The 27,992-nt window shown below is 45.2% G+C and overlaps 1 protein-coding gene, 1 long non-coding RNA gene and 1 pseudogene across 14 annotated transcripts in view, besides 5 other annotated features; 1 reads left to right on the forward strand and 2 right to left on the reverse strand.

Moving 5' to 3' along the window:
- The window catches only part of CCND3 (cyclin D3), a 115,103-nt gene that overhangs the window by 59,395 nt on the left and 27,716 nt on the right, over positions 1-27,992 (reverse strand). The gene's annotated exons all lie outside the window — the stretch shown is intronic.
- LOC105375059 (uncharacterized) lies at positions 1,818-27,913 on the forward strand. 5 transcript variants are annotated; one of them, XR_001744119.2, is made up of 5 exons: positions 1,818-3,090; positions 14,426-14,529; positions 17,351-17,582; positions 19,422-19,563; positions 27,797-27,913. It is a non-coding gene; the product is annotated as an uncharacterized LOC105375059 (long non-coding RNA). The 5 variants fall into 5 exon arrangements; XR_007059574.1 differs by lacking the exon at positions 27,797-27,913 and adding an exon at positions 23,003-23,472; XR_007059576.1 differs by lacking the exons at positions 1,818-3,090; positions 27,797-27,913 and adding exons at positions 3,319-3,527; positions 23,003-23,472.
- Positions 13,465-13,554: an enhancer, noted in NCBI's record as "active region_24532". NCBI's record gives its function as "activates an Ori minimal core promoter by ATAC-STARR-seq in GM12878 lymphoblastoid cells {active_cell/tissue: GM12878}" and the evidence as "EXISTENCE:reporter gene assay evidence [ECO:0000049][PMID:35858748]".
- Positions 14,810-15,766: an enhancer, noted in NCBI's record as "H3K27ac-H3K4me1 hESC enhancer chr6:41976875-41977831 (GRCh37/hg19 assembly coordinates)". NCBI's record gives its function as "activates a minimal SCP1, AML or CMV promoter by ChIP-STARR-seq in naive H9 embryonic stem cells {active_cell/tissue: H9 hESC(naive)}" and the evidence as "EXISTENCE:reporter gene assay evidence [ECO:0000049][PMID:30033119]".
- Positions 15,767-16,722: an enhancer, noted in NCBI's record as "H3K27ac-H3K4me1 hESC enhancer chr6:41977832-41978787 (GRCh37/hg19 assembly coordinates)". NCBI's record gives its function as "activates a minimal SCP1, AML or CMV promoter by ChIP-STARR-seq in naive H9 embryonic stem cells {active_cell/tissue: H9 hESC(naive)}" and the evidence as "EXISTENCE:reporter gene assay evidence [ECO:0000049][PMID:30033119]".
- Positions 22,324-22,825: an enhancer, noted in NCBI's record as "H3K4me1 hESC enhancer chr6:41984389-41984890 (GRCh37/hg19 assembly coordinates)". NCBI's record gives its function as "activates a minimal SCP1, AML or CMV promoter by ChIP-STARR-seq in naive H9 embryonic stem cells {active_cell/tissue: H9 hESC(naive)}" and the evidence as "EXISTENCE:reporter gene assay evidence [ECO:0000049][PMID:30033119]".
- Positions 22,737-22,786: an enhancer, noted in NCBI's record as "active region_24533". NCBI's record gives its function as "activates an Ori minimal core promoter by ATAC-STARR-seq in GM12878 lymphoblastoid cells {active_cell/tissue: GM12878}" and the evidence as "EXISTENCE:reporter gene assay evidence [ECO:0000049][PMID:35858748]".
- On the reverse strand, positions 24,082-24,187 carry RNU6-761P (RNA, U6 small nuclear 761, pseudogene; annotated as a pseudogene).

The raw sequence follows: 27,992 nt of genomic DNA on the forward strand, positions 1-27,992 counted from the left end.
ACACAATGACAACATCACCTGACAACTCGTTTATCAGAACATACCCCCCTCATTAAGTGATGCATGATTGTAGATGACATTCTGGAAAAGGCCAAACTATGGAGGGAGCAAAAAGACCAGTGGTTCCCAGGAATTAGGGGAAAGCATGAGACAAACAAACAGAGCACAGAGGATTTTTAGGGTAGTGAAAGTATTCTGTATATTACTACAATGGTGGATACATGTCATATGTTTGTCAAAAACCAAAGAATGGACACCAAAAGTGAACCCTAAGGTAAATGCTGGTCTTTCAGTGATAATATATCAACGTAGGTTCATCACCTGTAACAAATACATCACTAGGGTGCAGGGTGTCAATAGTGAGGGAAGCTGTGCATGTATGGCGTAGGAATTATATGGGAACTCTGTACTTTTGCAGCTCAATTTTGCTGTGAACCAAATCTACTCTAAAAAAATAAAATATAGGCCGGGCGCGGTGGCTTATGCTTGTAATCTCAGCACTTTGGGAGTCCGAGGTGGGCAGATCACGAGGTCAGGAGTTCCAGACCAGGCTGGCCAACATGGTGAAACCCCGTCTCTACTACAAATACAAAAATTAGCCAGGCGTGGTGGCAGCCGCCTGTAATTCCAGCTACTCGGGAGGCTGAGGCAGGAGAATCACTTGAACCCAGGAGGCGGAGGTTGCAGTCAGCCGAGATCGTGCCATTGCATTCCAGCCTGGGCGACAGAGTGAGACTCCGTCTCAAAAATAGATAAACAAAAATAAATAAATAAATAAAGTATATTAGTTAAAATTTTTATTTATGCATAAGAACATACAAATGGTTATTTATTATAGCAAAAAATTTGTAAACAACCTTACAGTCCAATGGGAGGGAAATGGCTATATAAACTACATCCCACAACCACTCAGTTATATGTATGAGGTTTTTCTTTTTTGTGGGGGGTGGGGTGCAGTCTTGCTCTGTCGCCCAGGCTGGAGTGCAGTGGTGCGATCTCAGCGCGCTGCCACCTCCACCTCCAGGGTTCAAGCAATTCTCCTGCCTCAGCCTCCCAAGTAGCTTGGACTACAGGCACCCACCACCACACCCGGCTAATTTTAGTACTTTTAGTAGAGATGGAGTTTCACTATATTCGCCAGCCTGGTCTCGAACTCCTGATCTTGTGATCTGCCCGCCTTGGCCTCCCAAAGTGCTGGGATTACAGGCGTGAGCCACTGCACATGCCCAAAGTATTTCTAATAAACAGGACAAATGCTGAGAAATTGAAAAAAGCAGTATAAACAATTGTATAAATGGAATGATAAAATTGTGTATTGCAAAAAGACTAGGAGGACAATATGCTAAAATGTTAGCACTGAGTTGTCTTTGGGCATTAAATTTTGTTTTTATAAATATGTGCTCTTTTTATTCTAAAACACACGAGAGATAAAAATACATAAACGATCTGGGCACAGTGGCTCACGCCTGCAATCCTAACACTTTGGGAGGCCGAGGCAGGAGGACTGTTTGAGACCAAGAGTTCAAGACCAACCTGGCCAACACAGAGAGACCCTGTCTCTATTTCTTTTTAATAATACTAAAAATTTTAAGTTATAAATTTTAAAATGTTAATAAAATTTTTTTAAAATACATAAATGTACAGAGAACAGAAATCACCCCAAATCCTATCATCTGGAGATAACAGAAGTTGCCCTGAATAGGAAGACGGTAGAGGATTTTCTTTTCTTTCTGTATTCTATTATTTGTAGAGTTTCTAGTATTAGTAGAGAATCTGCTCTCATATATATATATATAATATATATATATATATTTTTTTTGTTTGTTTGTTTGTTTGTTTGACATGGACTTTCACTCTTGTCACCCAGGCTGGAGTGCACTGGCATGATCTCGGCTCACTGCAACCTCCGCCTCCCGGGTTCAAGTGATTCTCCAGCCTCAGCCTCCTGAGTAGCTGGGATTACAGGCACACGCCACCATGTCCGGCTAATTTTCATATTTTCAGTAGAGATGGGGTTTCACCATGTTGGCCAGGCTGGTCTTGAACTCCTGACCTCAAGTGATCCGCTCGCCTCGGCCTCCCAAAGTGCTGGGATTACAGGTGTAAGCCACCGCGCCCAGCCTGATATATTTATATTTTGTAAAAATCTTCCTCATATGTGGGTCTAAGGCCACCATCAGCCTTTCTACGAAGCCTTTCAAAACTTCCAGTTTGCATAGACTGCTCACTTTTATCTACAGTCTCACTTATGTCTCTTCTACCATTTATCATAGTTTATAGTGTATTTATTACCGGTGTAGTTAACATTTCCCTCAATCCTTGAAGGTAGGGAAAAATCTTACCTTTTTTTTTTTTTGAGACGGAGTCTTGCCCTGTTGCCAGGCTGGAGTGCAGTGGCACAATCTCGGCTCACTGCAACCTCCACCTCCCAGGTTCAAGCGATTCTCCTGCCTCAGCCTCCCAAGTAGCTGGGACTGCAGGTGTGCGCCACCATGTCCAGCTAATTTTTGTATTTTTAGTAGAGACAGGATTTCACCATGTTGGCCAGGCTGGTCTCTATTTCTTGACCTCATGATCCTCCCGCCTTGGCCTCCCAAAGTGCTGGGATTACAGGCGTGAGCCACAGCACCTGGCCATCTTACCCATTTTTATATCCTGCTGCCCACCCCCTCCAGCAACTAGGCCTGCACCTAGAAAGATATTATCAAATGTCCCTGCCACATCCCTGCCAGTATCCCTGTCTGTCCCCAGCCAGCCCACACAACGGATGCACAGAAAGGACCTGTCTTCTTTGACAAAGGAGGCTGATGATCTAATACTCTCTTCTGACTTCCTAGCTTGAATGCTGTTCCATCTCTTCCTCCCACAGACCAGGACTCAAAGGGCAGCGCATTTTCTCTGGAAAGACCCATGTCATAATGCACCTTTGTATGAAGCAGCAACCTTTGCACTGTCTCCAGTTAGTACTTTCAGAGGAATTAGCTTATCAGAGTAACTAGTTGGCACCTTAACAGGCATGCAGAATCTGACTCAGGAACAGAGACTCAAGAGAACTAAGGTGCAGTAGGAAGCAGGTGGCAGAGTGAAGATGTGAGTAGTGGGAAATAGTGTGAGTTATCTGGGGTAGAAAAGGTAGATTGGGAGCAAAACCGGCAAGGGGACAAGGGCTGGGTAATGGGTAAATTATAATGGCCTCTTCCTCATTTAAGAGGCCATTACAATAAATTTTACCTACTTTACCAAACAGCTTAAAGCCAAAGTGGGAGCTCAAAACCAGGAAGGAGCCAGGCACAGTGGCATATGCCTGTGGTCTCAGCTACTCAGGAGGCCAAGATAAGAGGATCACTTGAGCCCAGGAGTTTAAGACCAGCCCCGGCAACACAGTGAGACCTCAAAAACAACCCAGTTATGGCATGAGAATCTGGCTGGATGTGCTTCACCACCACCCAGAAGAGCCCCATGGGGATGTAGAGATTAAATCCAATCATCTCTAAGGTCCATTCCCAACTGGAATTTTAGAATTTCAGGTAACAGCCAGGCACAATGGCTCATGTCTGTAATCCCAGCACTTTGGGAGGCTGAGGCGGGTGGATCACCTGAGGTCAGGAGTTCAAGATCAGCTGGCCAACATGGCAAAACCCAGTATCTACTAAAAAAAAAAAAAAAAAAATTACAAAAATTAGCCGGGCGTGGTGGCGCTCCTGTAATCCCAGCATTTTGGGAGGCCAAGGCAAGCAGATCACTTGAGGTCAGGAGTTCAAGACCAGCCTGGCCAACATGGTGAAACCCCATCTCTACTAAAAATACAAAATAAACTGGATGTGGTGGCATATGGCTGTAATCCCAGGTATTCAGGAAGCTGAGGCATGAGAATCACTTGAACCTGGGAGGCGGAGGTTGCAGAAAGCTGAGATCGCACCACTGTACTCCAGCTTGGGCGGCAGAGCGAGACTCCACCTCAAAAAAAAAAAAAAAAGAATTTCAAGTGACCATTTTCTTTTCCTTAATGTGACAATATCCAATTTTTTTTTTTTTTTTGAGACGAAGTCTTGCTTTTGTCCCCCAGGCTGAAGTGTGATGGTGCAATCTCAGCTCACCGCAACCTCCACCTCCCGGGTTCAAGTGATTCTCTTGCCTCAGCCTCCTGAGTAGCTGGGATTACAGGTGCCAACCACCACGCCTGGCCAACGGGGTTTCACCATGTTGGCCAGGCTGGTCTCGAACTCCTGACCTCAGGTGATCCGCCTGCCTCGGTCTCCTAAAGTGCTGGGATTACAGGCGTGAGCCACCGTGCCCAGCTGATACCCAAAATTTTATAGCACTTACATCATGCCAGTCCCTGGTCTATGCATTATTATTTTTTTTTTTTGAGACAGAGTTTCGCTCTTGTTGTCCAGGCTGGGGTGCAATGGTGCGATCTTGCCTCACCGCAACCTCTGTCTCCGGGGTTCAAGTGATTCTCCTGCCTCAGCCTCCTGAGCAGCTGGGATTATAGGCATGTGCCACCACACCTGGTTAATTTTGTATTTTTAGTAGAGATGGAGTTTCTCCATGTTGGTCAGGCTGGTCTCAAACTCCCAACCTCAGGTGATCCGCCCGCCTCGGCCTCCCCAAGTGCCGGGATTACAGGTGTGAGCCACCCCGCCTGGCTGGTCTATGCTTTTTATTATATTAACTTCCTTAATCTAAAACCCAGAGAGGTATTACTATCCTTATATTACTGATGAGAAAACTGACATAAAAAGATTAAGTAACTTGCCCAAGGTCCCACAGCTAGAAGTGGCCAACGTAGGATGTAAACCCATCAGAATTTGTGCTGTGGCTGGGCATGGTGGCTGAGATAGCGCCATTGCGCTTCAGCCTAGGCAATAAGAGCAAAACTCTGTCTCGAAAAAAAAAAATTTATAGAACTATAGACTTAAGATCTGAGTATTTTGCCAGATGGAGTTTCACTCTTGCTGCCCGGGCTGGAGTGCAATGGCACAATCTCGGCTCACTGCAACCTCCGCCTCCTGGGTTCAAGTGATTCTCCTGCCTCAGCCTCCCAAGTAGCTGGGATAACAGGCACCCACCACCATGCCCGGCTAATTTTTGTATTTTCAGTAGAGATGGGTGATCCACCTGCCTCGGCCTCCCAAAGTGCTGGGATTACAGGCATGAGCCACCGTGCCTGGCCGATAATTATTCTAAATTTTGATACAATAATAATTTGTTTCCTATAATAATATAATAATTATAAATTTCCATCTCGCAAATAACAAAGGTACAAAATACATAAAGCTAAACTTGGTGGCTCATGGCTCACACCTATAATCCCAGCACTTAGGGAAGCCAAGGCTGGAGGATCACTTGAGCCCAGGAGTTTGAGATCAGCCTGTCAACATAGTGAGACGTCATCTCTACAAAAAATTTAAAAGGCCGGACATGGTGGTATGCACCTACAGTCCCAGCTTCTTTGGAGGCTGAGGCAGGAGGATTCTTCGAGCCTAGAAGTTTGAGTTTGCAGTGAGCTATGATCGTGCCACTGCACTCCAGCCTGGGAGACAGAATGAGACCCTGTCACTAAAATAAAATAAAATAAATCCACCATCGGAGTAGGATATTTTAATACATCTTTTGCAGTAATTGATAGAGAGGGCACACAAAATTCGGTAGGGATTTAGATGATTTCACCATAAGCTTGATCAAAGTGATGTAGATATATTTATATAGGCCTGTGTATGTGTGTGTGCATATGTGTATTGGAGAATACACATTCTTTTCAAGGTACAAATTTACTACATACTAGGTCATAAAGCAAGTCTCAAAAACATTTCAAAAAAAATCAGTATTATAGAGATTATATTAAAGGACCAAAATCCAAGAAAGTTAGAAATCATCAAGTCTCGTGGAAATTTGAAAACATACTTTTTTTTTTTTTTTTTTTTTTTTTTTGGGACAGAGTCTCTGTCGCCCAGGTTGGAGTTCAGTGGCGCGATCTCGGCTCACTGCAAGCTCCGCCTCTCGGGTTCACGCCATTCTCCTGCCTCAGCCTCTCCGAGTAGCTGGGACTACAGGCGCCCGACACCACACCCGGCTAATTTTTTGTATTTTTAGTAGAGACAGGGTTTCATCGTGGTCTCGATCTCCTGACCTCGTGATCCGCCTGCCTCGGCCTCCCAAAGTGCTGGGATTATAAGCGTGAGCCACCGCGCCCGGCCTGAAAACATACTTTCTAATAACTGGGTGAAACGAATCTTTTTTTTTTTTTTTTTTCTGAGACGGAGTTTCACTCTTGTTGCCCAGGCTGGAGCGCAATGGCGCAATCTCGGCTCACCACAACCTCTGCCTCCCAGGTTCAAGCGATTCCCCTGCCTCAGCCTCCCTAGTAGCTGGGATTACAGGCATGTGCCACCATGCCCAGCTAATTTTGTATTTTTAGTAGAGACGGGGTTTCTCCATGTTGGTCAGGCTGGTCTCGAACTCCCGACCTCAGGTGATCCGCCTGCCTCGGCCTCCCAAAGTGCTGGGATTACAGGCATGCCACCACGCCTGGCCATGAAACAAATCTTTAATGGAAACTTTTCAAGAACTAAAACTTAAATGATAATGAAAATATCACATATTAAAACTTATAGGACATCTATAGGTCAGGCACGGTGGCTCACGCCTGTATCCCAGTACTTTGGGAGGCCGAGGCGGGCAGATCACCTGGGGTCAGAAGTTCAAGACCAGCCTGGCCAACATGGTGAAACCCCATCTCTACTAAAAATACAAAAATTTAGCCAGGCATGGTGGTGCATCTGTAGTCCCAGCTACTGGGGAGGCTGAGGCACAAGAATTGCTTGAACCTAGGAGGTGGAGGTTGCAGTGAGCCCAGATCACGCCACTGCACTCCAGCCTGGGCAACAGAGCAAGACCCCATCTCAAAAAAAAAAAAAAAAAAGCTTATAGGTACCTCCCCAGAAGAAATGAAAACGTATGTCTACAAAAGACTTGCTCAAGGATATACATAGGTGCTAATAGTCAAAAGCTAGAAACATCCCAAATGTCTATCAACAAGAGAATGGATAAACAAATAGTGCATATACATCCATACAATGCAATACAAGTTAGCAATAAAAAGGAACAGGTTGCTAACACATACCACATATACTAAGTGAAAGAAGCCAGGCACAAAGAGAATTGATACTGCATGATTCTTTTTAGATGAGGTTCTATACATGTATAGTCTTAACAGGGGTAAACTCTGGTGATAAAAAAGAGACTGAACCAAAATGGGCCCCATGGGCAGGAAGCAGTGGTGCACATCTGTAATCGCAGCTACTGGGTGGCTGAGGTAGAAGGATCACTTGAGCTCAGGAGTTCAAGGATAGCCTGAGCAGCACAGCAAGACTCCATCTCAAAAAAAGCGGGGCGGGGGGCGGAGTGTGCCTGAAACTTTCTAGGATAATAGAACTGTCCCATATTTTGATTCAGATGATGGCAACATGGATGTGAATGTTTACATTTGTCAAAATTCATAGGGCCGGGCACGGTAGCTCATGCCTATAATCCCAGAACTTTGGGAGGCTGAGGTGGGTGGATCACCTGAGGTCAGGAGTTCAAGACCAGCCTGGCTAACATGGTGAAACCCCTTCCTTATGAAAAATACAAAAATTAACCAGTCGTGGTGGTGCATGCTTGTAATTCCAGCTAGTTGGGAGGCTGAGGCAGGGGAATCACTTGAACCTGGGAGACAGAGGTTGCAGTGAGCTGAGAAAGCGCCATTGTACTCCAGCCTGGGTGAGAAGAGCAAAACTTTCTTTAAAAAAAAAAAAAATTCATAGAACTGTAGACTTAAGATCTGTGTATTTTGGCCAGGCATGGTGGCTCACACCTGTAATCACAGCACTTTGGGAGGCCGAGGTGGGCGGATCACTTGAGGTCAGAAGTTCGAGACCAGCCTGGCCAACATAGTAAAATCCTATCTCTACTGAAAATACAAAAATTAGCTGGGTGTGGTGGTGCATGCCTGTAGTTCAAGCTGCTCAGGAGGCTGAGGCAGGAGAATTGCTTGAACTTGGGAGGCTACAGTGAGCCCAGATTGTGCCACTGCACTCCAGCCTGGGCAACAGAACAAGACTCCATCTCAAAAAAAAAAAAAACTATGTATTTATTTTATGATATGTACATTCAATAAAGAAAGCAAACTTATACAATGCAGCTAAAACAACACTTACAGGGAAATATATAGCCTTAAGTGCATGTATTAGAAAAGAGAGGGCTGGGCGTGGTGGCTCACGCCTGTAATCCCAGCACTTTGGGAGGCCGAGGCGGGTGGATCACAAGATCAGGAGATTGAGACCATCCTGGCTAACGTGGTGAAATACCATGTCTACTAAAAAAATACAAAAAATTAGCCTGGTGTGGTGGCGGGCACCTGTGGTCCCAGCTACTCGGGAGGCTGAGGCAGGACAATGGCGTGAACCCGGGAGGCAGAGCTTGCAGTGAGCCAAGGTCACGATACTGCACTCCAGCCTGGGCAACAGAGCTAGACTCCATCTCAAAAACACAAAAAAGAAAGAAAAGAGAGGCCGGGTGGGGTGGCTCATGCCTGTAAACCCAGCACTTTGGGAGGCCAAGCCAGGCAGATCACCTGAGGTTGGGAGTTTGAGACCGGCCTGACCAACATGGAGAAACCCTGTGTCTACTAAAAATACAATATTAGCTGGGTGTGGTGGCACATGCCTGTAATCCCAGCTACTTGGGAGGCTGAGGCAGGAGAATCACTTGAACCTGGGAGGCAGAGGTTGAGGTGAGCCAAGATCGTGCCACTGCACTCCAGCCTGGACAACAAGAGCGAAACAGCGTGTCAAAAAAAAAAAAAAGAGAAATATTCAAAATTGATAAACCAAGCACAGAACTTATGAAGTTAAAAAAAAAAAGAACAGCAGAGGCCAGGAGCAATGGCTCACACCTGTAATCCCAGCACTTTGGGAAGCCGAGACAGGTGGATTACCTGAGGTCAGGAGTTTGAGACAAGCCTGACCAACATGGAGAAACCTCATCTCTACTAAAAATACAAAATTAGCCGAGTGTGGTGGAGCATACCTGTAATCCTAGCTACTTGGGAGGCTGAGGCAGGAGAATCACTTGAACCCCAGAGGTGGAGGCTGCAGTGAGCTGATATCCAGCCATTGCACTCCAGCCTGGGCAACCAGAGTGAGACTCTGTCTCAAAAAAAAAAAAAAAAAAAAAAAAAAAAAAAAAAAAAGAACAGCAGAATAAGTCTTAAGGAGAATAAAACAATAAAAGCAGAGGAATAATGAGACAGAAAATAAACAGTAGAAAAGGTCAGTAAAGTTAAAAGTTTAACATTGTGGTTCAGGCCTGTAATCTCAGCACTTTGGGAAGCTGAGGCAGGCAGATCACTTGAGATCAGGAGTTTGAGACCAGTCTGAGCAACATGGTGAAACCCCATCTCTACAAAAAACACAAAAATTAGCTGGGCTTGGTGGTGGCATGTGACTGTAGTCCCAGTTACTAAGGAGGCTGAGGTGGGAGGATCACTTGAGCCTGGGAGGTTGAGGCTGTAGTAAACCATCATGCCACTGCATTCCAGCCTGGGCGACAGAGTGAGACCCTATCTCAAAAAAAAAAAAAAAAAAAAGTTTAACATCAAAAAGACTAACAAAACAAACAAAACTTAGGTAATATGATCAATAAAAAGAAGATTCAGATCAATGACATTAGAGATCTTAAAAGTTATATATATATGTATGTGTGTGTGTGTGTGTGTGTATGTATTTTTTTTTTTTTTTTCCTGAGACAGAGTCTCACTATGTAGCCCAGGCTGGAGTGCAATGGTGGGATCCTGGCTCGCTGCAACCTCCACCTCCCAGGTTCAAGCGCTTCTCATCCCTCACTCAGCCTCTCCAGTAGCTGGGATTACAGGTGTGAGCCACAGTTCCTGGTCCAAAGTGATATGTTTAAATCTATGGCAGAGGGTTAAAAGATGAGAAAACTATAAGCAACTTAGTGCCAATAAATTTGATACAGACAAATTAGATGATATTATAGAAAAACATAATTTACCAAAAACTACCTCAAGAAGAAAGAAAAAACCTAAATAGTCCTATATATACAGAATAACTCTATTTATGGCTGGGCATGGTGGCTCATGCCTGTAATCCCAGCACTTTGGGAGGCCCAGGCGGGTGGATTACGAGGTCAGGAGTTCAAGACCAGCCTGGCCAAGATGGTGAAATGCTGTCTTTACTAAAAATACAAAAAAATAGCCAGGTGTGGTGGTGGGCACCTGTAATCCCAGCTACTCGGAGGCTGAGGCAGAGAACTGCTTGAACCCGGGAGGCAGAAGTTGCAGTGACCTGAGACTGCACCACTGCACTCCTTCTTGGGCAACAGAGTGAGACTCCATTTCAGGAAAAAAAAGAAAAAGAAAGAATAACTATTTATTATTATCCAAACCAGTATATCTTTTAAAGTGAAAGGGAGTACCATTTATAAATATGCCAGGATAACAGCTATAACCTGGCACTAGCCCAAGCAAACAAGGACATATGGTCTATTTATCTATAGTCATAAACACAAATTAAATCAGTAATTTAAAATCTTCTTACAAAGAAAACAGACTCAGAATGTTTTACAGGAATATTCTATCAAACATTAAAGAAAGCATCAATTCCAATTTTATGTTGACTTTCATAGGTATTAAAAAAGAAATACTGCCAACTCAGTCAGCGAGGTTAGTAAAATCTTAATTCCAAACCAGCCAAACATAGTATGAGAAAGAAAAATTAAAGGTTAATGTCACTAATGAGCATATATGCTGACACCTTGCTCAAAATATAAGCAAACCAAACCCAGCAGTGTATTAACAAGATAATGTATCATGTCCTAATTGGATTTATCCCAGAAATGCAAAGAAAATTTAACATAAAAAATTACTGGGGCGAGGTGTGGTGGCTCAGGCCTGTAATCCCAGAATTTTGGGAAGCCAGGGCGGGTGGATAATTTGAGGTCTGGAGTTTGAAACCAGCCTGAGCAGCATGGTGAAACCCTGCCTCTACTAAAAATACAAAAATTAGTTGGGCGTGGTGGTGCACGCCTGTAGTCCTAGCCACTTGGAGGCCGAGGCATGAGAATCGCTTAAACCTGGGAGGCGGAGGTTGCTATGAGCTGAGATCGTGCCACTGCCCTCCAGCCTGGGAGACAGAGTGAGACCCTGTCTCAAAAAAAAAAAAAAAAAAAAAAAAAAGAATTAATGTAGGCCAATTGCATTGGCTCATTCCTGTAATCTCAGAACTTGAGGAGCCCAAGGTAGGAGAATCACTTGAGCTAGGAATTTTGATAACCCTCGGCAACATGGTGAGGCCCCATTTCTTATTTTTTTGAGATAAGAGTTTTGCTCGTTGCCCAGGCTGGAGTGCAAAGGCGCAATCTCAGCTCACTGCAATGTCCACCTCCCAGATTCAGGCGATTCTCATGCCTCAGCCTCGCAAGCAGCTGGGATTACAGGCACCCGCCACCATGCCTGGCTAATTTTTTGTATTTTTAGTAGAGACGGGGTTTCACCATGTTGGCCAGGCTAGTCGAACTCCTGACCTCAGGTGATCACCCGCCTCAGCCTCCCAAAGTGTTGGGATTACGGGTATGAGCAACCGCGCCCAGCCTGAGACCCCATTTCTACACAAAAAATTTTTTTTTAATTAGCAGGGTGTGGTGTTGTGTGCCTGTGGTCCCAGCTACTTGGGAGGCTGAGGGGGTAGGATTCCTTGTGCACCAGAGCTCAAGGCTACAGTGAGCTATGATTGCACCGTGGCACTACAGCCTGAGTGCAGACCAAGACCCTGTCTTAAAATAATAATAATAATTATTATTAATGTAACTTATAACACTCATAGATGAAAAACAAAAACTCACATCATCTCATCTCAATAGATGTAGAAAAAGCATGTGATAAGATTTAACAACATTAAGGTAGATTTAGAGGTTTAAAAAAAAAAGATTTAACAACAAACTAGAAATAAAGGAAACTTCCTTTATCTATTAAAGAGCATCTACCCTAAACCTACAGCAATCATTATTATGAGTGGGAAGCCATTAGAAGCATTATCCTTTAAGTTCAGGAGTAGGGCAAGGATGCCTGCTGTCCTTGCTTCTAGCTGACATTAAATTGGAGGCTCTAGCAAAACACAAAACAAAGGAAAATAAATGAAAGGTATAGAATTGAAAAAAAACAACTTCATTATTAATAGATGATATGACTATCTACGTGGAATCTCTTCAAGTCCACAAATTATTAAAATTAATTAGGCAGCCAGGCGCGGTGGCCCATGCCTGTAATCCCAGCACTTTGGGAGGCTGAGGCGGGTGGGTCACGAGGTCAGGAGATCAAGACCATCCTGGCTAACACGGTGAAACCCCATCTCTACTAAAAATACAAAAAATTAGCTGGGCGTGGTGGCGGGCGCCTGTAGTCCCAGCTACTCGGGAGGCTGAGGCAGGAGAATGGTGTGAACCCAGGGGGCAGAGCTTGCAGTGAGCCGAGATCGCTCCACTGCACTCCAGCCTGGGTGACAGAGCAAGACTCTGTCTCAAAAAAAAAAAAAGAAAAATTAAGTAGGCGAATGATAAAATGAACACAATTCATAGTATCTCAATGAGATTTGTTAGAGGGATGGCACAGAAAAGGGAACACAGGAAGCTCCTATATAACTGGTGACATATTTCTCAAGTTGCAGGGTATGTTTAGTTTTATTATACTACTTCATAATATACATACACACATGTATATATATACCTACATACATATATATGCACTTATATTCTTTTGTGTATATATGCTTCATAAGTCAATTTTAACATTTGAAACAACATGTTTTTACTTTCTATATTGTACACTTATTGGTTGTTTCATTGTTTTACAACAAAAATGTAAAAAGGTCTGTGTTTTTGAAAATGGTTAAAGAAAGAAAAAGAACAAAAGGAAATGAAGGGAGGCTGGAATTTCACCAACAGCTTGATAGATGGGCGGGTGGATGGCCATGAGGGTGGCTAGTAAGGCCAAGTCCAATTGAAGTCAGGACAAGGGCTTAGTCAAGGACTGAGCAGAGGCTGGTAGAATTGGAGGGAAGTCTGATAGCACTGACCTTTAAACGGGCAATTTTTAAAGACTGGCAGGAGGCGGAGCCCAAATGCAGGGGGTTAAATGGTGAATGAATAAATAGCAAAAAATTGGAAACTACCCAAGGGCCTAACAATCAGGGCCTGGCTAAGCAACCATAGTACCATTCATAGAAAAAATGATGCTGTGTCCATACATAGGCGGGCTTATAAAATTAGGTGACGTAAAAAATTTCAGGACACAAAATAGCATTTGTGCAGATTACAATTATGAAAGGACATGCATGTGCTGCGAGAGCCAGAAAGGGCTGGACAGGATCGAGAGCAGCTCACGGATGCTGCTTTAAAGTCTATGGGATTTTCTTTCTTTTTTGGAATGCTGGCGATCCACAAACAAAAGCACATAATGTTGCTTTAAAATAAAAAGAGTGGCTGTTGAAGAAGTGGAGACAGCAGGTGAAGGCCACTCAGTGAAGAAACCTGACGGTGACAGGAAGAAATGAGCCGGCAGAGCAGCTGGCGGGGTGTGAAGGCTGGGGACAGCAGCTGGCGGGGGAGCTGGGGGCTGGGGGAAGTGGGGAGAGGAAGAAAGGAGGCTGTTCTGTTTCCTTTATTGCCTATAGCTCTACCTTATTTTTTAATATAAAAAATAGTAGTATCTCTTGGCTAGGCGCGGTGGCTCACACCTGTAATCTCAGCACTTTGGGAGGTCGAGGTGGGCAGATCACCTCAGGTCAGGGGTTCGAGATCAGCCTGGCCAACATGGCGAAACCCCATCCCTACTAAAAATACAAAAATTAGCTGGGTGGGGCGGGCGCCTGTAATCCCAGCTACTCGGGAGGCTGAGGTAAGAGAATCACTTAAACCCAGGAGGCAGAGGTTGCAGTGAGCTGAGATCATGCCGCTGCATTCCAGCCTGGGCAACAAGAGCGAAACTCTGTCTCAAAAAAAAGAAAAAGAAAAGTACCTCTTGAGACAAATTCAAACAGTCCAGAGTGTGTATGTATAAAGTGACAGAACCCTCAGCCTAGTCCCCATTGTCAACAGCTTAGTGTGCAGCTTTCCAGAGCTGCACCATTTTCTTTTACTTGCAGTGCATTCATTTTTAATTACAAAGTAAGATAGGCTGGTTTTTAATTACAAAGTAAGATGGGCTTGTTAAAATGTAGGATTAGAGAAAATAAAGAGTGAAATATTCTATCCTGCTGAAATCTCCCAACAGAGCTGACTGCTGTTGATTGGTCTGGAAAGGGTCTATGTGCATGTAAATACTTATGTATATATTCGGTTATGGTTTTTTGGTTGGTTGTTTTTACAGAAGCAGGAACATTTCCTACCTATAGTTGAGCAGTTTCATGCTACATCATGGTGGATCCCTCCCAAGTCACCACTGCCTAACATTCCACAGAATATAGTTGAAAGGTAAACTTCAGGGAACACAGGGGCATCTCTTTCCCTATAATTGGCAGGAAAGGAGCTCTAGAAACAAAAGGTTCAAGATGGAAGGAGGTATTGCTTGGAGGGGGGCTGCCCGTGGGAATAGGGAACATGCAGACAGAGAGGGTCTTCTTTCCGCCTTCTTCTCTTAAGCCAGAGTCCCATCCAAATGTAGCTAAGGTATACAGAAGTGTAAGGGGGAAGGGTTGTGATTAGAGCCTGAGTGATAAGGGTCACTACTGGGGGCTCAACTTCCTTGAGTGGACTGCTCTTCCCTCAACTGTGCCTAGGTCAGGCCTACTTATCAGAAACCTTAAGGGGAGGCTGGGTGTGGTGGCTCATGCCTATAACCCCAGCACTTTGGGGGGCCGAGGCAGTTGGATTGCCTGAGCCCAGGAGTTCAAGACCAGCCTGGGCAACATGGTGAAACCCTGTCTTTACAAAAAATACAAAAATTGGGCCAGAAGCGGTGGCTCACACCTGTAATCCCAGGGCTTTGGGAGGCCGAGGCTGGTGGGTCACCTGAGGTCAGGAGTTCAAGACCAGCCTGGCCAACATGGTGAAACCCTGTCTCTACTAAAAATACAAAAATTAGCCAGGTGTGGTGGCGGATGCCTGTAATCCCAGCTACTCAGGAGGCTGAGGCAAGAGAATCACTTGAATCTGGGAGGCGGAGGTTGCAGTGAGCCAAGATTGCGCCATTCCACTCCAGTCTGGGCAACAAGACCGAAACTCCGTTTCAAAACAAAAAAACAAAACAAAACAAAACAAAAACACACAAAAAAATTAGCTGGGGGTGGTGGCACACGCCCATAGTCCCAGCTACTCGGGAGGCTAAGGTGGGCAGATCGCTTGAACCCAGGAGGTGGAGGTTGCAGTGGGCCAAGATTGTGCCACTGAACTCCAGCCTAGGTGATAGAGCGAGACCCTGTCTCAAAAAAAATAAACAAACAAAAACCTTAAGGGGAGCCCTAGAATAGTGATTCTCAAAGTGTGGTCCCTATACCAGTAGAAGCAGCATCAACAACTTAGAAATGCAGATTGTTGGGCCCCACTTAGTCCTACTGAATCAGAATCTCTCAGCAATCAGTGCCCTCCAAGCAATCAGCAAACAGGCCCTCCAAGGAATGCAGGCTAAGCTTGGAGAACCTTTGTTCTAGAATGTGGATTTGGGTGTGATTTCTTCATCCCTCAGGCACCCCCATGTTCATTCTCCTAGAGGACAAGCAGGAGTCAGCCCTGAAGGGGATGGGTTATCAACTTCATAAGTGGTTTCTTCTGTGAGCTTAGAGGTTGCAGGCAAAGTCAGTGACCTAGGTAGTACCTGGGAGAGCCCTCCCTCTCTTCTCATGACAACACTTCCATCTCTTCACACGCCCCCCAAATAAAACAGAAAGGGAGGGGGGCAGTGGAAACCTACTGCTTTCCACTTTCCCTTAACGGTGTCCCCTGCCCCGGGGCACTGCCCTCTGCAGCATGGAGGACAGAGTAGGGAGTGAAGCTTTTGAATGAGGGGGAGGAAATGGGATGTGGCTTCATGTGGCTGGGTTGGGGGAGGGAGTTGGAAGGAGAGGAGGGAGGGAGAGGAAGAATGTCCTCATTTCACCCAGCTGCCTGGGCCTGCACCTGTTCAGCTGAGGCCCAAGGAAAGACACCAAGCCCGACAGTAAATGAAGCACGGCCCCACCCCATCTAGCGGGGCCCCTTCCCACACTGCAGCAGGGCCGGGTTAACTGACAGGAAAACTGTGAATGATTTCAGGTGGCTGAATGAGGGGCTGGGGAAACAGCTGTGCTCCTCTGCGGGGTGGAGCAACTGTCTTCTGTCACCCCCAGGCTCTCAGAGCCTCGGCAAGGTCAGCAGGAGTCAGATAGGTTGGGACCTGCTCAGACACCTTCTCCTACAGAAAGTGACATCACTGCCATCAGCGCTGAGGAGGTTCCGGGTGGTTAAGCCCTACAACATTCCACAACATTCTTTAGTTCCTCTATAGGCAACTATCTTCTTCTTTTTTTCTAAATAGACTGTTTTTTAGCACAGTTTTAGTTTCACAGGAAAATTGAGAGGAAATATTAAGTTTCCTCTTGGTCTGTCCTCCATAGAAACACTTCAGGAGTTCATCCAAGCAGTCAATCGGTCATTTCACAAGGATCCAATGAAGGCTTTCAAAAGTGATTCTTGAATCTGTAAGAACAACTGGTAGTGAATGAATGAATGAATGAATGAATGAATGAATGAATGGATTTTTCACTGACTGATTGATTGACTGAGAATCTCACTCTGTCACCCAGGCTGGAGTATGTTGGTGCAATCACAGCTCACTGCAGCCTCAAACTCCTGGGCTCAAGCAATTCTCCTGCCTCAGCCTGCCAAGTAGCTAGGACCACAGCAAGTACCTAGGCCACCATGCCTGGCTAATTTTAAAAATTTATTTGTAGAGACGGGATCTAACTTTGTTGCCCAGGCTGGTCTCAAACTCCTGGCCTCCAGCAATCCTCCTGCCCCAGCATCCCAAAATGCTGAGATTATAGGCACGAGCCACCAAGCCTGACTAACTGGGAATTTATTAAAGAGGCAAGCCCTGGTCACTCCACTAGAGATTTTGATTCAGGAGGTCTGGAGTGGGGTCCGGGATTATGTATTTTTGACACAGTCTGCAGGAGATGATACATTTGACATAATGGGCCCTAACTGGAGAAACTCAGGCATGGTGTGAGATACAAAGGGTTAGTAAATTGCTCTGGTGGGAAGGAAGGAAGCAGTGAACATTAAGGACCAAAATCCTCCTACCTCTCCACCACCCCAGAATTGAAGATGCAGAGTACTGAGCCCTCCACCTGCAAATGCATACAGCCATGAACAGATGGGTGTAAACTGAGGCAGTGGAGGGAGAGGGGTACTCCCAAGCCCTGAAAATCTCAGAGTAAGAGGCCACCGACGACAGCGCTCACCGGTGCTGAGCTCCCTTCTACAGAAACCTGCAAAGACTCAGATCGAGGAGGAAATACACCAGGAAAATGTCACAGGATCATCTCGAGGTAAGGTCCTGAGCAAGGTAGCCTTTCCATGCCTGCATTTCCTCATCTGTCAAATTCGGAGCATGATGGGCTCTGTCAAACAGGGTTACAGGCATTGAGCCACTATGCCCAGCTGCATTAGCTCATTTTTTGACTTTGCTTAAGAGTTCCTTGCCCACTCTTCAAAAATGTTGATGTCATGGAAGACAAAAACTAAGGAATCATTTCAGGTTAAACAAAACTTGGGGAGACAGGACAACTGAATATAATCCATGATCTGGGACTTTGTTTTCATTTCTGTAAAGCATAACATTGGAGACCAGGCTGGCCAATATGGCAAAACCCCATCTCTACTAAAAATACAAATATTAGCTGGGCGTGGTGGCGGGCGCCTCTAATCCCAGCTACTTGGGAGGCTGAGGCAGGAGAATCACTTGAACCTGGGGTGGGATGGGGGCGGGGAGTGGAGGTTGCAGTGAGCCAAGATCACACCACTTCACTCCAGCCTGGGCGAAAGAAGCTCTATCTCAACAATAAAATAAAAATAAAAATAAAAACAAAAAAATTAGCCAGGTGTGATGGTATGTGCTGTAATCCCAGCTCTCGGGAGGCTGAGGCAGGAGAATCACTTGAACCTGGGAGGTGGAGGTTGTAGTGAGCAGAGATGGTGCCACTGTACTCCAGCCTGGGAGACAGAGTGAGACTCCTCTCATATAAATAAATAAATAAAATAAAATGATGAGTGAAGGAGTTCTGAGAACTTGTGATTTCTACATGCTGGAATTCTGCTTATGCCCTTGGTGGTTGTTGGCTATTAAAATGTGGGTAGTGTGGAATTATGTACATTACAAGATCTTTACAGAAAATCCTTTTTTCTTCTCATGCATAGTATGACCTGGAACTAAAAGGAGCTGCACATATAAATTGATCCAAGCTTCTACCAGATTCATTATATGCTATCCTGACACAGATGAATCCAGGCTCTTCTTATATACTTCTGGAGATGGGAAAGTCACCCCCTCTCACAGCCTGTTCCATTCCTGGTCAGTTCTGACCACTAGAACATTCCTTGACCTACTGAGCTGAAACCTTCCTTCCTGGAGCCTCTACCCACTGGTCCGGTCCTGTTTTCTGGGTAGTGGGGCCTCTACCCGCTGATCCTGGTCCTATTGCCTGTTTAGGGGCAATACGGGACCCCTAATGATCTTAGTCATCCTTTCCTAAATAAGTTCCAGTTCATCAGTGTCTCTCTAGAGTGTAAATGCAGTGCCCCAGGATCCAACTTGATAATCAGATAGCAGAGGGAACATGATCTCCCAAGTGCTGGACATTCCATTCATACAGCCTAAGGTAGAGTTGGGCTTTTTTCAAAATTGAATCACACAGTTGATTCATGAGTTTAGAGCCAACTTAAACCACGGTTTTCTCTTGTGAACCATGGTTAACTGCCATTGGTCTCAGCAGTTTTCACTATGAGACATCCCATTGTATGTTCGTTTGCTTATTGTCTGTCTCTAGATATTGCTAGAATGTAAGCTATAGGAGGGCAGGGTTGTTGGCTTGTTCTGAATCCCCAACACCTAGAACAAACAAGTCTTGGCACATAGTAGACATTCAATAAATACATGTTGAGCAAATAAATAACTGTTAAGCCACATCTCACCTATCCTGTATTTCTATAATTTATTTGTAATTCACACCCAGTCTTCTAACAAGAGAGGTTTGAGGTGATTGCTTTGCAGAATCCTTTTGTTAACTTCAGAATAAACTTTGTTCTTGTTGAATTTTATATTGTTAAATTTTCATCATTAGTTCAGCCTATTGAGATCTAATTTCTGGCTCTCTCAATCTACATTTCAGCAGTCCCTTCCAGCGCCAAGCCATTCATTCAAGAATGACTCAGGGCCGGGCGTGGTGGCTCACACCTGTAATCCCAGCACTTTGGGAGGCCGAGGCAGGCGGATCACGAGGTCAAGAGACTGAGATCATCCTGGCTAATATGGTAAAACTCCATTTCCACGAAAGATACAAAAATTAGCTGGGCGTGGTGGTGTGCGCCTGTAGTCCCAGCTACCAGGGAGGCTGAGGCAGGAGAATGGCGTGAACCCGGGAGGCGGAGGTTGCAGTGAGCCGAGATCGTGCCACTGCACTCCAGCCTGACAACAGAGGGAGACTCCATCTCAAAAAACAAACAAGGCCGGGCGCAGTGGCTCATGCCTGTAATCCCAGCACGTTGGGAGGCCAAGGCGGGTGGATCACGAGGTCAGGAGATCGAGACCATCCTGGCTAACACGGTGAAACCCCGTCTCTACCAAAAATACAAAAAAAATTAGCCGGGCGAAGTGGTGGGCGCCTGTAGTCCCAGCTACTGGGAGGGCTGAGGCAGGAGAATGGCGTGAACCCCGGGGGGCGGAGCCTGCAGTGAGCCGAGATGGCGCCACTGCACTCCAGCCTGGGCAACAGCGAGACTCTGTCTCAAACAAAACAAAACAAAACAAAACAAAACAAAACAAAACAAAGGCCTCCCTGTCTCCAGAATGGCAACAATATATTAACTCCCTTAGTGTATAGTCTTTCAATCAGTAAAACAAAACAAAATGCCATTAACAACTCTATTTCAAAGAATATATTAATGGCATTGGAAAATGCTCATCCTATATACATACCAGGTCAGTGGGGGATACAAAACTGTAACACAGCACATGATCCCAGTTACAGGAAAATAGTTGTCTACATAGAAATAAGATGGGAAGGAGCTGGGCATGGTGGCTTATGCCTGTAATCCCAGCACTGGGAGGCTGAGGTTGGGGGATGGCCTGAGCCCCGAAGTTTGAGGCTTCATTGAGCTATGATCAAGCCACTGCACTCCAGCTTGGGTGACAGACTAGAAGGAAATATACCAAAATGTTAACAGTGATTATTTCTGAGTAGTGGTTCATTTTCATTTTATTCATTATATTTTTCAAAATCTCTTATTATAATAAGCAAGTATTTCCAACATATATACTTGTTATCCTTGTTATTATACCATCATCTGGATCACTCAGCCATACATATCTTCACTAAGGCAGTGAGAACCCAGGTGACACCTTCCTGAAATTGATCCTGCCCTCAAAAAGTTTCTAGTCAATATCAATAGCAAATATACATGTACATGCACAAACACACACGTATTCATTTTAATCCTACAACAATCCTTCCATTTCTATCTTCATATTCTAGATGAAGAAACTGAGGCTCAAAGAGGTTAAAAGAACTTGCTCAAGGTCATACATCTAGCATGAATCTGGGCCAGGATTTTAAACCCAGGCAGTCCAGCTCCAGAATGGACACCCTTAACCACTCTGCCATGCATGTAAACTCAAAGTAGCGCCACCCAAGGATTGATGATTCTGAGTGAGTGGTGGGGGCTGTAACAGGAGGCAGGGGAGTCGACATTAGCTGAATGAGGACTATGTGACAAGTGCTTGATATACATTACCTCATTCAGGTCCTGCAACTACCCTTGCAAAAAAATATTTTATTTTAAAAAAAAGTTATGGCCAGGCACAGTGGCTCACGCCTGTAATCCCAGCACTTTGGGAAGCCAAGGTGGGCAGATCACGAGGTCAGGAGATGGAGGTCATCCTGGCTAACACGGTGAAATCTCGTCTCTACTAAAAATATAAAAAATTAGCCAGGCATGGTGGCATGCACCTGTAGTCCCAGCTATTCCGGAGGCTGAGGCAGGAGAATGGCATGAACCCGGGAGGCGGAGCTTGCAGTGAGCGGAGATCACGCCACTGCACTCCGGCCTGGGCAACAAAGCAAGACTCCATCTCAAAAAATAAAAAAAAAAGTTATGTCTTTTTAAATTGACAAATAAAAATTGTACATATTTATTGTGTACAATGTGATATTTTGAAATATATATATATTGTGGAATGGCTAAATCAAGCTAATTAACATATGCATTGCCTCACATTTTTTTGTGTGCGTGGTGAGAACATAAACACTGCTCTCTTAGCAGTTTTCACGTATACAATACGTTTTTATTTTATTTATTTTTTATTTATTTATTTATTTTTTGAGATGGAGTCTCACTCTGTTGCCCAGGCTGGAGTGCAGTGGCGTGATATCAGCTCACTGCAGCCTCTGCCTCCCAGGTTCAAGAAATTCTGCCTCAGCCTCCTGAGTAGCTGGGATTACAGCTGTGTGCCACCACCCCCAGCCAATTTTTGTATTTTAGTAGAGAAGAGGTTTCACCATGTTGACCTGGCTGGTCTTGAACTCCTGACCTCAGGTGATCCACCGGCCTCGGCCTCCCAAAGTGCCAGGATTACAGGCGTGAGCCACTGCGCCCAGCCACAGTATGTTTTTTACTAACCATAGTCACCATGTTGTACGATACGTCTCTTGAACTTATTCTTCCCATCTAGCTGAATTTTTGTATCTTTTGGCCAACATAAAAAGATATTATTTTCATCTTTGTGTTATAAATGAGGAAATTGAGATTCAGACAGGGGTTTGAATCTCTGCTGTGATAATTCAAGTTTACTAATATCTCTGTCCTTCAGTTTCCTCCTCTACAACATGGGATAATAATAGCTCCTACCTCACTGACAGTTGGGAAGTATTAGTGAGAAAGTAGACTCACAACACTCAACACGGTGCCTAGCATATGGTAAATGCTTGATAAATGTTAGCTGCTATTACTATCTATTACTTTTTTTTTTTTTTTTTGAGACGGAGTTATTGCCCAGGCTGGAGTGCACTGGCGCCATCTCGGCTCACTGCAACCTCCAGCTCCCAGGTTCAAGCAATCTCCCACCTCAGCCTCCCGAGTAGCTGGGATTACAGGCACCCGCCATCATGCCCGGCTAATTTTTGTATTTTTAGTAGAGACAGGGTTTTACCATGTTGGCTAGGCTGGTCTTGAACTCCTGACCTCAAGTTATCCAACCACCATGGCCTTCCAAAGTGCTGGGATTACAGGTGTGAGCCACCACAACCAGTCTATTACTATTCTTGATTCCAAAGTTCACACTCTCAACTACAACATAATGACCTGCTAAGTGGGCAAAGGAGAAAAATTAATTCTGAATGATGCCATGGGGAAACGTTAGATAAATGAGTGGAGTCACAGAGGAGTGACGTCTGAAGGGGCCTTGATACAGCAGCATCTCACCCGGCAGAGGAGGGCAGGGGCACGTCCTGGAAGTACAGAGGGACAAGGTCTGTTTCTGTCCCTTGCCCTGGCCCTCCCCCACACAGCATCCTGCAGGTCTCCACCTCTGTCCCTCACTGTGCCCTGCCAGTACTCCCGCCTGCAGTGCCCATGGTCCCCTGCCTCAGCTGTCTCCCTAATCAGGGGCCCACAGCCTCTCCAGCAGGGAGTGGGAGCCCCTGGCACTTGGGGCCTGGGAGGGCCCCTGATAAACAGCTGGAGCTCTTGTTCACAGAATCTGTCATCTCTAAAGGAAAAGCAGAAACAAACCACAGAACCAGGGGAGCTGGCTGATAATGAGTCACATTGCTGCTGGCAGTTCTCCACTCAGTCCTCTGGCCTCTGCATCTGGGACTTCTTGCTTGTCCTTCAAGATCCACTGCAAAAATGTCTTGTCTCCACAAAGGCTTCCTTGACTGCATCCCCAGCCACCCCACACCCTGCAAGCTTCCATTGCATCCAGCACAAGATCCACTACTGCCATGTATTGCACTAAGTGGAAACTGGTCAGGTTGTGGGGTCCCAATCAGCCTGTGAGCTTCAGAAGGCAGGCATTGTGTCTCATGGACCTAGCCCAAAACAGAAGTGTCTATGGAAATAGTGTGATGACCTGAGTAAAATATGGGTGGAATGTGACATAGGCATTTAAGAAATCTATATATTGACATACAAAAAACAGTTTATTAAAAGGTTGTGTAGGTAGAAGGCAAAGGCTGGAAATTTTAACTTTTTCCAAAATAATAATTAACATTTTATATTTTAGCAACAAAATGTGGCCGGGTGTGGTGGCTCACGCCTGTAATCCCGGCACTTTGGGAGGCCGAGGCAGGCGGATCACGAGGTCAGGAGATCAACACCATCCTGGCCACCCTGGTGAAACCCCATCTCTACTAAAAATACAAAAATTAGCCGGGCATGGTGGCACATGCCTGTAGTCCCAGCTACTCAGGAGGCTGAGGCAGGAGAATCCCTTGAACCTGGGAGGTGGAGGTTGCAGTGAGCCGAGATCGCACCACTGCACTCCAGCCTGGGTGATAGAATGAGACTCCGTCTCTAAATAAATAATAAATAAAAGTAAAACGTCCACCTGAGAAGCCTTTATTTGTTTGTTTGTTTGAGACAGAGTCTTGCTCTGTCACCCAGGCTGGAGTGCAGTGGCACAATCTCGGCTCACTGCAAGCTCCGCCTCCCGGGTTCACACCATTCTCCTGCCTCGGCCTCCCCAGTAGCTGGGACTACAGGCGCCTGCCACCATGCCCGGCTAATTTTTTTGTATTTTTAGTGGAGACGGGATTTCACCGTGTTAGCCAGGAAAAAATACGGAACGCTTCACGAATTTGCATGTCATCCCTGCGCAGGGGCCATGCTAATCTTCTCTGTATCGTTCCAATTTTAGTATATGTGCTGCGAAAGTGAGCACCTGAGAGGCCATTTTTATTTAACTTGAGAGATCTCAGAAAAATGCCTTTTCCTTTAGTTTTATATACCTGACACAAAATTGAAAAAGCTATCTCCAGTCGGGCCTGGTGGCTCACTCCTGTAATCCCAGCACTTTGGGAGGCTGAGGCAGGCAGATCACCTGAGGTCGGGAGTTCGAGACCAGCCTGACCAACATGGAGAAACCCCATCTCTACTAAAAATACAAAATTAACCAGGTATGGTGGCACATGCCTGTAATCCCAGCTACTCAGGAGGCTGAGGCAGGAGAATCACTTGAACCCAGGAGGCAGAGGTTGTGGTGAGCCGAGATCGTGCCATTGTACTCCAGCCTGGGCAGCAAGAGCGAAACTCCATGTTAAAAAAAAAAAAAAAAAAAGAAGAAAAAGAAAAAGATATCTCCCACTACTTTTTAAATACTGTAACTAAATATTAAATGTTAAGGTTTTCAACTCATTTTGATTAATCAATGGAACATTTCAGTCATGTTCTAAAATACACAAATTAGATATTCTTGTGTTTTGGGGCAAACTACTCCATATTTTCTATCAGTTGTTATAAAATTGCAATCTATAAATAAGTATATCATCAATGGTATGGATTCAGTTTGTATAATGTCAGATACTTAAGTAAATTCACATAGCATAAAAAATGTAAAACAAAAAGGAAATGTAGGCCTGGAGCGGTGGCTCCCACCTGTAATCCCAGCACTTTGGGAGGCCAAGGCAGGCAGATCACTTGAGGTGAGGAGTTCGAGACCAGCCTGACCAACAAGGTGAAACCCTGTCTCTACTAAAAATACAAAAAATTAGCCGGGTGTGGTGGTGTGCACCTGTAGTCCCAGCTACTTGGGAGGCTGAGGCAGGAGAATTGCTTGAACCCGGGAGATGGAGGTTGCAGTGAGCTGAGATCGCACCACTGCACTCCAGCCTGGGTGACAGAGCGAGACTCTGTCTCAAAAAAAAAAAAAAAAAAAAGGAAAGGAAATATAACACCAGGCATGCAAAATGGTCCTAACTTTGTAAAAGGAGAAATGATTGCATGTGAACAGTATTCTATGATCCTATTTTAAAAGAATGAAACTATCAGTGAGTTTGTAGGCACAGAAAAAAAGGTTCAGAAGGACATCTAGTAACCCTTAACACTGATTTTCCCTGAGGGATAGGACTTAATGATTGGGGCGGAATTTAAACTTTTATTTTCTTCCTATTTGTAATGTGTTTTTACAATAAGGAAGTTTGTTTTATATTTATAATTACAATTTTTACTATTTAGTTTAAAAGTTAAATCTAAAAATTAACAATTTTTAAATTAATAAAGATGTAAGACTAGAAGGAAATCACAAAATGTAAACCAGGGCTGTCTTTGGGTGATAAGAACTATGGGTGATTTTTCTAACTTTTTCCTATTTTCCATATTGTCCAAATTCCTAAAAATAATCATCTTATAATTTTTTTAAAAACCTTGCCGGGAGCGGTGGCTCACGCCTGTAATCCCAGCACTTTGGGAGGCCGAGGCGGGCGGATCACAAGGTCAGGAGATCGAGACCATCCTGGCTAACAAGGTGAAATCCCGTCTCTACTAAAAATGCAAAAAAATTAGCCGAGCATGGTGGCCGGCGCCCGTAGTCCCAGCTACTCAGGAGGCTGAGGCAGGAGAATGGCACGAACCCAGGAGGAGGTGGAGCTTGCAGTGAGCAGAGATCGTGCCACTGCACTCCAGCCTGGGCGGCAGAGCGAGACTCTGTCTCAAAAAAAAAGAAAAGAAAAAAGAAAAACCTTAAGAACAAAGTCTTAATAAATGAATGCACGTTTCCCTAGCCCTTCTTGGCGCCTGCAACTGACCCAACATGCAGAAGGTTCTTGGCTCTCTCTCTGTCCTCCCTTGCTCCACTGTGTTGATCAGGTCCCCGGAAGGACTCTGTATGGTTCCAGCCTTCATCCACATGCCCTCCCCAGATCTAGACACTTGGGATGATGGTGAGGGGCTGAAGCAAGAATCCCTGGCCTTGCCAGGATGGTCATGGCTCCCACCCTGCCCTTGCCTTGCATCCCAGCCCTCCAAACTCTACCAGTTAACCTCTAAAGACCACTCGGCTCTCCGGGAAGCCTTCCCCTCACCCGTAGCCTCCCCTACTCCCCTTCTCTCAGAATTCCCACAGCACAGAGAGCCTGCACTCCAAGACTTCATGAGCAGTCACCCCCTTTATCCAGTTTCACTTTATTTATTTATTTATTGAGACGGAGTTTCGCTCTTATTGCCCAGGCTGGAGCGCAATGGCATGATCTCAGCTCACCGCAACCTCTGCCTTCTGGGTTCAAGTAATTCTCCCGACTCAGCCTCCCGAGTAGCTGGGATTACAGGCACGTGCCACCATGCCCGGCTAATTTTTGTGTTTTTAGTAGAGACAGGGTTTCTCCATGTTGGCCAGGCTGGCCTCAAACTCTTGACCTCAGGTGATCCGCGTGCCTCGGCTTCCCAAAGTGCTGGGATTATAGGCGTGAGCCACCGTGCCCAGCCTCAGTTTCACTATCTTTGGTTTTAGTTACCCATCGTGCAGTACAAAAAGATATTTTGAGAGAGAGAGAGAAACAGACCACATTCACACAACTTTTATTACAATATATAACTGTTCTGTTTTATTATTAGTCATTGTGGTTAATCTCTTACTGTACGTAATTTATACATTAAACTTTATCATTGGTATGTATGTATAGGAAGAAACATAATATACAGAGAGTCTGGTACTATCCGCTGTTCCAGGCATCCACTAGGGATCTGTGAATAAGGGGGACTAGTATTTGCCACCTTCTGTTCTGTTTCCCCTCACTCATTTGTTGGACCAACTTTTCCTAAGAGAATATCCTACAGAGTGATGGGCACTGCTGGAGAAACACGGACGGGCCCAAAGGCACAGAGCAGTCATCCTTCACATGTGCTGAATGAATGAGAGAAGGGTGGAAACCAATGAGACACAGAGCCTGTCCTCAAAGAGCTCCTAGTCTAGTAAGGACAATAATAGGTGTTGTTATCCACACATAATACACACTAGGAAACACCACCCAGGAGGCAGGGTATGTGGGAGGAGGAACTGGGTGGATTTAAACTGGGCTTTGAAGACTGGTCAAGTTTGGATGGAGAGAGGAGGATAAAGGGCATTCCAGGAAGGGGGACAGTGTGCACAAAGCAATGGAAGCAGGAACACCCCAGGATCTATTAGATCTAGCTAGCAGGGAGAGGGTTATAAAGATTCACTGTGGGTAAAGGCCTGGAAAGGTGAGTTGAGCCCAGATCCTAGGAGAACAGAACACCAACAGAAGGTGAATTTGATTTTGCAGGCCTTGGGAAGCCTCTAACAGTCTCTGAGCTTTAGAAATGTACAGTAATCCAGGTGGGTGCCCATAAAGGGCTGAAGGAGGCTGGCAGCCACAGGGAAGAGAGACGGAGAAGAAATTCCAAGCTTTGTTACCACCTTGCTAGCTTAAAGGAAGCAAGCATCACATATTAAGTGCTGACCATGGGGAAATCACTGCTCTGTCTTTAATCCTTGAAACAGTCGTGTGAGATGAGACAGTATGATCTCAATTTTCAGATTGAGTTCCACAAGGCTGAAGTTTGCCCATGATTCTGCTGGGAGAGATCCACGATCATCTTGCCAGGAAACAGTTCCAAGGATCCGAATCCAAGTTGGCCTGAATCCACAGGCCAAAGCACCCTCACTTTCTCCTATAATGTCTTTCATATTTACCAGTATCTAGCACTATGATGGTTCAGTACACACTGGAATG

Source organism: Homo sapiens, chromosome 6 (genome assembly GCF_000001405.40).
Source record: "Homo sapiens chromosome 6, GRCh38.p14 Primary Assembly".
Lineage (NCBI taxonomy): Eukaryota > Metazoa > Chordata > Mammalia > Primates > Hominidae > Homo > Homo sapiens.